This window comes from Homo sapiens, chromosome 13, assembly GCF_000001405.40.
Source record: "Homo sapiens chromosome 13, GRCh38.p14 Primary Assembly".
In the NCBI taxonomy this organism is placed as follows: domain Eukaryota; kingdom Metazoa; phylum Chordata; class Mammalia; order Primates; family Hominidae; genus Homo; species Homo sapiens.
The window spans coordinates 33,088,185-33,100,887 of record NC_000013.11 but is presented as its reverse complement, the minus strand read 5'-3'; the positions used below and the strand labels follow the sequence as shown (position 1 = coordinate 33,100,887).

The 12,703-nt window shown below is 41.5% G+C and overlaps 1 annotated feature.

Annotated features, from left to right (window-relative positions):
• Positions 8,026 to 8,582: an enhancer, noted in NCBI's record as "OCT4-NANOG hESC enhancer chr13:33666443-33666999 (GRCh37/hg19 assembly coordinates)". NCBI's record gives its function as "activates a minimal SCP1, AML or CMV promoter by ChIP-STARR-seq in naive H9 embryonic stem cells {active_cell/tissue: H9 hESC(naive)}" and the evidence as "EXISTENCE:reporter gene assay evidence [ECO:0000049][PMID:30033119]".

Sequence of the window (12,703 nt, the reverse complement as noted above, 5' to 3'; positions counted from 1 at the left end):
CTCCCATTTGTTGACACTCTGAAAATGCCCAAAAATGACCATAAAATCACTGCATGTATTGATCTGAGGGTTACAAATAAGTGTTAGTGAGTAGATGAATTCACAAATGTAGAATCCACAAATAATGAGAAGGGTCTATACATACAACACCCAGTGACAGATTACTGTGAATTCTACAAGAGCCCAGGGGAGTCAAAGGACAGGACGTCTCACCTGAGCTGGAAGAGCTTGGCCTTTATCTGTTAAGCAAACTAGAGCCAAGAGGCAGAGAAATGAACTCGCACTAGTTTTGCTGAAAGAGATTTAAAATGGACTTGGAATCCATTAAAACAGACTTGGAGTATTAACAGTAAAACAGACTTGGACTTAAGACAGACCTGGAGCATTACTAGGCACAGGAGCAGGGTTGTAAAGTTACACCCGTCTTTGCCAGTGTTCTTCACCCGTTTCCACATTAGATGTATTAGAGGTGTCTCACCACCTGCCATTCCTGAGCTGAAACTAATCCATGATAACTTCCCTTTCTTTTCATTTTATAACTCACTCCTTTCTCCTATTTAATGTAGAATATTTCAGAAAACTTGGCATTCATATGATTAACCTCAGAGAAGATGCTTTTAAAACCAAAATAACACCTTCGATGCTACACATGACCCGGAGAGAACCAGATCAGTCCAGGTGTTACATGATCCTAAGATGCCAAGAGCTGATAAGATGAGATTACTGGTGAGATCCCCAAGAACAAACCCCAAATCAGCAGGAAAGTTTGGGTTGCCAGGCTCATGCCTCCCTCTCTTGTTATCATGCCCATTGTTTGTCACAGGAGGTAGGCTTATCCCAGTGATGAGTGAGTGCTAAGCCCAAACCCCTCCTCACTGCCAGAGGAAGTCTTTAATCGGCAGAAGCTAAGCTTGAGTTGTCAGTTTGCCTCTGCCCACAACTCCAGCATGGCCAAGACATGGAACTAAAATCCTTCCCATAGGCCAGACTAGTCTGTCCTTTCCTGGCTAGCTGGCTAGCTTGGGCCCCTGAGGGTGCAAAGGAGATGCTTTGGGTTGGTAACCTGAATGACTAGTGGTTTTGTTGAGGATGGACTGGCATGATGAAGGGCAGAGTGATCTGTGAATCCAATTAAAAGACTGTTGTAACAGTCTAGGTGAAAAATGCTTGTGGGCAAAGAAGTGGATAGCTTTTAAAACATATTTCAGAGCTATAATAGAACTAATAAGATCTATATACTAGCTTGTTTTGAAATGGTGGGGGAAAGGAATTATCTCAAAATGACTCTGGATCTTCTAGCTTGGAAAAACTTTGTGGTAAATTATTTAACTGATATAGAGACAAAGAAGAGGAGAAGCAGATTCGTGGGGGGCAGCAGAGCAGGGAGAGAGCCAGGTTAGAAAGGATGGCCAAATGAGCTCTGATCACACAATGCTTGTGGTGACTGTGAACCATCCAGGTGGAGATGCCCAGCAGCATCTGGGCATATATATAGGTCTGTGATCGTTAATTTTGTGTCAACTTTGGTAGATTATGGGGTGCCCAGATTAAACATGGTTTCTGGGTATATCTGTGAGGGTGTTTCCAGATGAGATTAGCATTTGAGTAGACAGAGTCAGTAAAGTATAGTTGATCCTTGAACAGCACAGGTTTGAACTGTATGGGTTCACTTATATGTGGATTTTTTTTGACAAGTATATTGTAAAAATTTTTGAAGATTTGTAACAATTTGAAAAAACTCACAGACCGTGTAGCCTAGAAATATTTAAAAAGTTAGGTATTCATGAATTCATAAAATATATGTAGATACTAGTCTATGTTATCATTTCCTAACATAAAATATATACCAATAAATTATTAAAGGTTATAATTTATCAAAATGTGCACACAAACACAGACTTACATGGTGTCATTTCCAACTGAGAGAAATGTAAACACAAAGAGGCAATATTAAATCACAATTGCATAAAATTTATTGTAGTACATAATATACTACTGTAATAATTTCATAGCCACCTCTTGTTGCTATTTCAGTGAACTCAAGTGTTACAAGAACTTCTTAAAGTTCCATGTGATGCTCATCATCTCCATGTGAGTAGTTTGTCTCTCCAGTAAAATGCATATCACAATAAAAAGTAATCACTTGCAGTTCTTAAGTGTTTTTCAATGTGCAATATTGTAAACCTTGACTAACACCAGGGGACCCATACGAAGTACCACTAGTGATGCTGGAAGTGCTCCTAAGAAGCAGAGAAAAGTCATGACATTCCAAGAAAAAGTTGAATTTCTTGTTATGTACCATAAATTAAGGTCTGCAGCTGTGGGTGCCCATCATTTGAAGATAAATGAATCCAGTGAAAGGACCACTGTGAAAAAAAAGAAAGAAAAGAAAAGGGAATTCATGAAGTTGTGGCTGCAGCTATACCAGCAAGACATGAAAATAGCACTTTTAGTGAAATACCTTTTAATCATATATTGAAAATGTAGCTTTTATGTGTGTACAGGATTGCTACAAGAAAGACATACCTACAGGCTTTAATATAATTTGAGGAAAAGCAAAGTTATTATATGATAACTTAAAACAAAATGAAGGCAAAGGATCTAAACCTGGAGAATTTAATGGCAGCAAAGGATGGTTTGATAATTTTAGAAAAAAGTTTGGCTTAGAAAACGTCATGATAACAAGATAAGCAGCTTCTGCTGACCAAGAGGAAGCAGATGAGTTCCCAGATGTCATTAAGAAAATCATTGAGAAGAAAGGATATCTGCCTGAAAAGGTTTTTAATGCAGATGAAAGTGCTCTATTAAGGAGAAAAATAATGCAAAGGACATTTATTAATATTATTAAGAAAGACAAATAAGCACCAGAATTTAATGCAGGAAGGGATAAGCTAACTCTATTGTTTTGGCAAACGCACTTGGGTTTATGATCAGGATTTCCCATATCTATAAAGCTGCTAACTTCAAGCCTTGAAGAGAAATGATAAACATTAGGTGCCAGCATTTTGGTTGTAAACAAGGCCTAGTCAAGAAGAACTCTTTTACTGGATTGGTACCACTAATGCTTTGTCTTGAAGTCAGAAGTAACTTACCAGTAAGGGATTGCCATTTAAAGTTCTTTTGATATTAGACAATGCCCCTGGCCACCCAGAACCACAATGAGTTCGACACTGAAGGCATCAAAATTTGTCTACTTGCCCCCAAACACAATGTCTCTAATTCAGCCTCTAGATCAGGGGGTCATAAGGACCTTTAAGGCTCATTAAACATGGTACTATATGAAAGGATCATCAATGCTATATAAGAAAACCCCTCTAGAGAGAACATCATGAAAATCTGGAAGTATTACACCATTTAAGATGTTTTTGTTGTTCCAGAAAAGGCCATGAAATACATCAAGCTCAAAACAATGAATTCCTGTTGGAGAAAACAGTGTCCAGATGTTGTGCATGACTTCACCGCGTTTATGACAGAGCCAATCAAGAAAATCATGAAAGAGATTGAGAATATGGCCAAAAAAAAAAAAGTGGGGGGGGTGAAGGGTTTCAAAATCTTGGATTAGTTCAAGAGCTAACAGACACCACATGAGAGGAATTAACAGAAGATGACTTGATGGAGATGAGTGCTTCCAAGCCAGCTGATGAGGAAGGAGACATAGAAGCAGCAACAGAAAACAAATGCATACAGACAACCTAGCAGAGTTCTGCTTATTTAAGACTGCTTTTGACTTCTTTTGCAAGATGGACCTTTCTGTGAAATGGTCACTGAAACTAAAGCAAATGGTGGAAGAAGGATTGATACCATATAGAAACATTTTTAGAGAAGTGAAAAAGCAAAAAAAAAGTCAAACAGAAGTCATTATGTATTTTCATAAAGTTACATTGAGTGTGCCAGTCTCTCTTACCTCCTCTTGCACCTTCTCCACTTCTTCCACCTCTGTCACCCCTGAGACAGCAAGACCAAACCCTCCTCCTCCTCCTCAGTCTACTCAATGTGGAGGTGGTGAGGATGAAGACTTTTATGATGATCCATCACCACTAAATGAATAGCAGATATATTTTCTCTTCCTTATGATTTTCTTAACATTTTCTTTTCTCTAGCTTACTTTATTTTAAGAATACAGTATATACATATAATACAAAATATTTGTTGATTGTCCATTTATGTTATTGGTAAAGCTTCCGATCAATGGTAGGCTGTTAGTAGTTCAGTTCTGGAGGAGTCTACATGCAAATTTTCAACTGTGCAGGGGTGTGGATGCCTCCAATTTCCACATTGTTCAAGGGTCAATTGTAAATTACTCTCCCCAATGTGGTTGAGCAACTTGCAAACCACTGAGGGCCCTAATAAAACAAAGGCAGAGGAAGGAGAAATTTGCCCATTTTTTCCTCACTCACTACTTGAGCTGGGATGTCTCATGCCATCTTCTCCTGCCTCAGACTGGGATCTACATCACTGGCTTTCCACGGGCTTCCAGACTCAGACCAAATTACAACCGCAGCTTTCTTGGATCTCCAGCTTGGTGACAGCAGGTCATGGGACTTCTCCATCTCCAAAATCATGTCAGCTAATTCCTCATAGTAAATCTCCACATATATCTCCTATTTGTTCTGTTTCTCTAGAGAACCCTAACTAATATAAGGTCTGAAACCCAAGGAAATGATCAGTGCCCAAGGCTGGGGGTATATCACTTTACTCACTTAAGTGGTGTCATTCCTGACCATGTACTTAATGATCCAGTGATGCCCAGCCACCCCTTCATGTCCCCAGTGACTACATTGACCTCCCTATCTGGTGGGTCATAGGTCACTGATAGCCTAACTCTCCCGCTAGGCTATAGACTTTTAAGGGCATGGATCATGCCTCAATTAACTTGGAAACTTCATCTGTTAGGACCTTTTCTGCTGCATCATTCTATAAGCGTTTGTTAAAATGAACCAGTTTGTTAAACAGGACATAACAATGATAGAAGTTGCAAATGTCAAGATTTCATTCTTTTTGTGCCTGAATAGGATTCTGTTGCCTATATATACATTTTCTTTATCTAGTAATCCACTGACAGACACTTATGTTGATTCCATATCTTGAATATTGTGAATAGTGCTGCAATAAAAATGGGGGTACAGATATCTCCTCAATATGCTGATTTTATTTCCTTCAGATATATACCCAGCGATTGATAGATCATATGGTAGGTATATTTTTAGTTTTTTGAGGAACCTCCATATTGTTTGCAATGGTTGCTGGACTAATTTACATCCCTACTAACAGTGTATGAGCATTCGTCTTTCTCAGCATCCTTGACAGCATTTGTTATTTTCTTTTTGATAATAGCCATTTTCACTGGGGTGAGATGATATCTCATTGTGGTTTTGATTTGCATTTCCCTGATGACGGGAAGACAAATATCGCATGTCCTCACTCATATGTGGGAGCTAAACAGTGAATCTCATGGAGGTAGAGAGTAGAATGGTGGTTGCCAGAGGCTAGGAAGGGTGTGGAGGGAGGGAGAGATAAAGAGAGATTGGTTAATGGGTAAAAAAACACAGTTAGATAGAATAAGTTCTAGTGTTCAATAGCACAGTAGGGTGACTGTAGTTAACAAGATTTTATAGTATATTTCAAAATAGCTGGAAGAGAAGATTTGGAATGTCTCTAACACAAAGAAGTGATAAATGTTTGAGGTGATGGATATGCTAATTATCCTTATTTGATCATTGCACATTGTATACAGGTTTTAAAATATCACATATAGGACAGGAGCGGTGGCTCCTGCCTGTAATCCCAGCACTTTGGGAGGCCGAGGTGGGCAGATCACTTGAGGTCAGGAGTTCGAGACCAGCCTGGCCAACATGGTGAAACCCTGTCTCTACTAAAAATACAAAAATTAGCCGGGTATGGTGGCGGACACCTGTAATCCCAGCTACTCAGGAGGCTGAGACAGGAGAATTGCTTGAACCCAGGAGGCAGAAGTTGCAGTGAGCCGAGATTGCGCCACTGCACTCCAGACTGGGTGACAGAGCAAGACTCCATCTCAAAAACAAAACAAAACAAAACAAAACAAAAATCACATATACCCCATAAATAGGTACAATTATTATGCACCAATAAAAAAATTGTTTTAAAATGATAGAAGCCATGGAAAGGAAGCCATAAGCCAGGGACACTGTGAAGAGTACTCTAAAGCTAACAAAATCACTTCTATTTTCGATTTTGACTGCTTTGACCCTCCCCATCGTACAGAAGATGGAGAAATAGCTTGATATGGTTTGGATATTTGTCCGTCCCCTCCAAATCTCATGTTGAAATGTAATCCCCAGGGTTGGAAGTAGGGCCTGGGGATAAGTGTTTGGCTTGGCACCCTCCTCACAGTAATAAGCGAGCTCTCACTCTGAGTTCACATCAGATCTGGTTGTTTAAAAGTGTATGGCACCTCCCCTGTCTTTCTGTCTTGCTCCCTCTCTCTTGCTTCCACTCTTGCCATGTGATACGCAGCTTGCCCTATACTTTCTTCCGTGATTGGACGCTTCCTGTGGCCGTCACCAAAAGCTGAGCAGATGTCAGCACCACACTTCCTGTATAGCCTGCAGAATTGTGAGCCAATCCGACCTGTTTCCTTTAGAAATTACCCCGTCTCAGATATTTCTTTATGGCAACACAAGAATGGACTAACACAAAGCTGGTCTTCTAAAAAGTTAACTGTGATTGTTTCTGAAACTAGCACATGCTGAACACCTGTTTACAACAAACAGGAACATTTGCTTCCTTCACGCATTCAATAAACACGTATGAAGCACTCATTGTGTGCTAGATACTTATCTTAGGCATTCAGTGAATAAAAAGATGAATAAAATGAGGGAATAAAACAGACAAAATTCCCTGTCCTCATGGAGCTTATGATCTAGTGGAGAAAGCAGCCAAAAAAAACCTAAATAAATAATTGTCCAGGTAAGCTCTATAGGAAAACAAAAACAAAAGGAAAGAGATGGGCAATGGGAGAGTTGCAGTTTTGGGTAAGATGGTGAGGAAACACCCTACAGAGATCCGATTCAAAACTACACCCTGTCAGAGTTTTCATTTCCTTCCACTCCACTCAAATTGCTAAAACTACACTGGTGGGAATTATCAATTAATCGATTTGCTGATCACCTATGTCTTGTGAAGAAAAAGAAGTTCAGCAACTTAGACACATGCGTCCTCTGAGAACTGTCCTTGCTGATAAAGGACGGCTACATCTTCCCGGGCAGTCAGAAAGCAGGGCCAGCAAGGGATGCACAGATGTGAGAACACCACATGTCCCAGGCCACTCCATTTAATTGTTATGCCTAATGATAATGGGGAAGTCATTGGTTGTCCTGATTTCCAGAAATTGGCATGTCCCAATGGCCACCAGATACTTCAGAGAGTTCTCATATGAGCACTTCTCGTGTGCCCAGGAGCAGGCCCTGTGGATCAGCTTTGTTGTCCTCATCACCCACCCCGTCACCACTGCCCCTGCTGCCAATGACCCTGTCAGCTCACTGCCTGCTGGGCATATCTCCCTTCTGCTCTCTCAACACCGACCAGGCTTTGAGAGGAGACCTGATTCTCCCCTTGACATCTCTCTGTGGAGCTGGTCTGAGTAGGTAGGTATGTTAAATCCCCACAGCACACCTGAGACTAGGCCGTCACTGCTAATAAGACTCAACTAACACACTAGAAGCGTGTTAGAAGTGGAGCATAACTTAAAGCTGCTAATAAAGGTGGCCCCTCTTCGAGCCCATTCACCCAAACCTGGCTTTGGAGGCTCTTATCTATCCGGCCTGTCCTGCCATCCCCTCTATCAGCTCATCCTCCATGCTGAGAAGGAGTGAGCACTTCACCTTGAAGCAAGGGCCCCAGTGATCCCAAGCCCACCTCACTCTAAGGCAGAGTTCCCCCACGTCTTCATAATATGAGAAACATAGAATGTGATGGCAGGAAAAATGTATCACTTCACCTTGGGAGAAGAGCTACTTCCATCTACTTATCTATAGGGTGTGGCTGGACCCTCTGATTCCAGAAGATAATCACACAATGGACTTGCGTTGATTCATTTCCCTAAATCCGGTTACCTCATAGGAAACACCACCCCCTGGTTTCCCACAGGCATAGTCGGAAAGCCAGCCACCACCAGCCCTGCAAAAGTGGGTAGTACTTGTGGCTTCACTGCCTTCCCTTGCTGGGACCTTGTCCTCCCAGCAAGGTAGAGCAAGTTTCTCTTTAGTACCACCCTGTTCCAGAACCCCGTTTCTGTGTGTATCAGTCATCCCACCTGCTGAAACGCTGACTGATGACATTTTAATATGAATGAGTTTCAGACAGAACTATTTCACTACATATTTGCATAATTAAGCCTTTTATCTCTTTATTGGGAATCAGAGGCTTTGTCTCCTGTTACATGGATTTCAGGCATCAGCAGGTAGGTGGGAGCTATTTTTGGAACAATGAACAGCCTGAAATTATACGACCACATACAAAAGCCTAAACCTGAGAGTCGACCTGACCTTGTCTTCTAAGATGATTAGGCTGGGCAGAAGCATTTCTGCCTGCACAGGTCCCTCCTTCTCCTGGGAGGGTGGGGAGCTGCGCATTTCCAGGACAGTCTGGGGAGGAGAAATTTGTCTTGAATTCAGAAGAGCTCTTCCTGGCAGCCTTGCTGACATGACCCTTCCTTCACCTTGTTCCTCTTCTCGTATTCCCTTCTCATGTTCCTCTTCTTGTATTCTTCCGGATTCCCCAAATCCCACCTTTTCTTGTGGAAGAATCCCTAATGCCTTTGTGTTTCAGATTTCCAAGCCCATCAAGCATTTACTGAAGAAATGCCCAAGATTGTGTGTGGTATACACTTTGAGTGAATACCGTAATGCTCAGCTTTGTCAGAAACTTCCTGCCCAAGGAAGACCTCAGAGAATGCCCACATCACCTGACAGAGGTGAGAGCCCAGGGAGAAGGGAGCACATCTCTAAACAGACACAAGCTGAAGATGTTGTATGAGGAAGCACCCAACCAGGGTGCACTGGACCAAAATATAGAACAACTGGATTTTTGTGCTATTGCTTGGTTTTCCTTGTGGTCCTCCAATTTCTCTGTTGCTACCTCATCTACATATTAAAGTAAGAGGAAACAGGCCTAATAATCAATCCTACGATGAGTAGTTAGAAGCCACAGATAAAGAGTCCTGTCTTTCCTGGAGATGGGCAATTCAAAATCACTTGGGAGAAATACACTATCCAGTCATCCGAAATTAAATATGTTCTCTAAAGAGCAGCCACTAGCGGGAAACACCATCATCCATCACCGGCCCCTGCTGGAGCCTCTGTCTGTGAGGCTGAGCCTGGGGCGGCACACAAAAGAACCACAGGTTCCAGAACCATGTTTCTCTTCTAGAACCACAAAAAACAGAATGCCCAACTCAAAAGAAATTGGAAATGGCAAAGGAGGGCACATTTTTATTTCGTTTTCTGCCAGTTTTCAGGGATTCCAGTATAAGCCCACTAGGGTATGCACACAACACAAAAGACATCAGCCAACCCAATGCAAACATCAAACCAGCTATGCAGCATTTCAAACAAAATACAGCCATTATTTGACTGCATTGCTCAATTTTCAGAAGGCTTGTGGCTGTCCTAATCTTCCCCATACATCTCAAAGTTCATACTTTTAAGTCCTCTAGTCCTCATAACTAGATTACTGTACAGGGCTCAGATTATTGCAAAGCAGGCATCAAGCAGAATACTTTTGCATAAAACAAAGGGATTTTAAACACAGTACACACAGCAACAGCTGCTGCTTGGTAGAACTGAATGGGAATGGGAGAGGGGCCTTCTTCCTCTGAGAAGATAGAAAAACACTCTGTAACTTTTGTTCAAGGATTTGGGAGTATAAAACAAACAGCTCGTCGTGTTCCCACATTCCATAGTCAAGATGTTCTGCAGAGATTGGAACTAAACTGCTCAAAGTGACATCAGGAACTATGTAAATCAGGAGGAGAGCCTCTCTGGGGCTATAAATCTCAGGACAAGGTTAAGGTCACAACCCCGGAACAAGGGAATTCAGACCCCTCTTCTGAGAGACTGAGGGCTGAATACTTGCATACTGCTGGACAATAAGAAAATCCTATCAGCAGCAAGCAGGCATGGCACTTTACCAATGAATTTTCCAAGTGGAAATCTGCGGCTTAATGAGGAAGAACCATGGTGAACCAGAACTTCAGATCTAGTATGTTTGTACACATTAGGGGAATCTTTTGAGGCCCTGAATGCTATCTGCTCTTTGTCTTCCTGCCTCAGATCATTACCTACCATACATGGAACAAAATCTCCATTAAGGAAAAAGTGAGCAGACAGCAACAATTCCATGCTGACATGCTCTGGCTCTGTGTCCCCACCCAAATCTCATCTTGAATTGTAATTGTAATTGTAATCCCCATGTGTTGGGGGAGGGAACTCGTGGGAGGTGATTGAATCATGGGGGTGGTTTCCCTGTGCTGTTCTCGTGATAGGGAGTGAGTTCTCATGAGAGCTGATGGTTTTGTGAGGGGCTTTTGCCCGCATTTTCTCCGCGCTTTTCTTCATTCTTCATTCTTCCCCTTCCTGCCGCCATGTGATTTACCATGATTGTAAGTTTCCTGAGGCCTCCCCAGCCCTGCTGAACTGTGAGTCAATTAAACCTCTTCCCTTTATAAATTACCCAGTCTTGGTTATGTCTTTATTAGCAGCATGAGAACTAATACCTGCTATATACCAGGGAATTTTCCTATCTATATATAGACATATACATATACACATGTATATGTACACACATATATCCATATAATTTGATATTATATACAATTTATGTATCAGTCCTCACAAGTCCATACTATTTGTATTTTTTAAAAGAGTAAATTGAGGCACAGAAAGGATGAGAGACTTCCCTGAAATCATCACTCAACTGGGACTGAACTCCAGGCAATGTGGTATTTACTTGTTTGCTGACTTTAGTGAGGAGGGCTCCTCTATGGCAGGACAATGAGATGAACCACCCAGAGTGGAACTCAGGAAGACCCAGGGCAGAATTAGGCTGAATGGATCTTCTAGAGAGTGAAATGAGGAATATAATTGCAAAGAATCTCCATCATGAAGAAAACATTAAGGGCCAGGAGCCTGCACAGCATGACTTCTGATGAGCGCCGGCCCTAAAAAGGTGACGGGGCACATTTGCAGGGACATCTTCCACTTCTTGTTCAGCCATGCAACTTCTGCCCTCCCCAGCACCCCACTGGGAGAGAGAAGATGCTAAGGTGATTCACTGGGGTTCATGGCATTGTTTGCACAGCACATTATTAGCACAGCATTGCCAGGTGTCACACATAGTGTAGCTCCTGTGGGCACACAGCTGGGCCAGTGAGTAAAGCCTCATGTACAGATGAATCTGCCATCCCAGCCCTCTGGCCCATGCAAGCTGAGGAGTGAAAGACTACTTGCCTTTTACTGCAGTTCTCTGACATTTGCACAGCTATTAATAGAGATGTCTTTTGACTCCATTCTGCTATTGTTCTTGTGCATAGAGATTCTTCAGAGCCTAGTGGGAAGGACTGAGAAGAGGTGATCAAGATTTCAGCATTTTGGGGTCCCTGACAGTAATATCTAATGGCACTAAATTATGTCTTCTTTCTTGAAAATTGGGCAGAATACCAAGTACAAATGCAAAAGATGGGCATAGCCTCTAAGAGTGACCTCAGGATGCCTGAAGCCCAAAAATGCATTGAGGTTTTCAGAGACGTTCTGAGGATGCAAAACATTTTTTAAATAATAAAATTAGACTTTTAAAAGCCATATTTATGCAAGAATAAACAGAAGGAAGGAATAGGCTTCTACCTGACATGATATAATGTCAATAGAAGACAAAAGGAAGGGAAAATTATTTCTTATTTATAGCATTCTCATCTTTCCAGCCATAAAAATCTCCCCTGCTAAAAAAATGTAGAAAAAAACTTAATGGTTAAGAGGAAGTGGTGTTTTAAAAATACGTCCAAAAATTATTTGATGCTCTCTCTTCAAGAGGTGGAGCTTAATTTTCCTTCCCTTAAGTGTGGGCTTTATTTAGAGACTTGCTTAACAATAGAATATAGCAGAAATGACTGAGAGTGATTCCAAGGGTGGGTTTTAATTTCTCTTGGGTGGATACCTAGGAGTGGAATGGCTGGACCATATGGTACATTTTTGCTTAACGTTTTAAAGAACCGCCAAACTATTTTCCAAAGTGGCTGCATTATTTTACACCCCCTCCAGCAATGTGTGAGGATTCAACTTTCTCCAAATCCGCCCCAACTCGTGTTATTGTCAGTCTTCTGGATTAGAGCCTCTCGGTGGGTGTGAAGTGCCTTCTCAATATCCTTCACAGTTCTAAACTTTAAGCAAAAATAAAAGTTCCAAGTGATCACATTAAATGATAGAATTCAATTAACTCAAGTTCTGGTTCTTCCTCTTTACAATCACTATGTTGTCCCTGTTTATTTCAAATTGACAGTTTTAAAAAATCACAGGGATTGGAAACTGGAATTGAATTATGCCCACAGCAAAACAGAATAATTCCAAACTCTGACTTACTCTTAGTCTTACTTACTCTTGAAACAAACCCATGTAGCTGAGTCTGCTTGTGTCAAGGACTGACTATGAGGAGGAGGTTCTCTAAATTAACC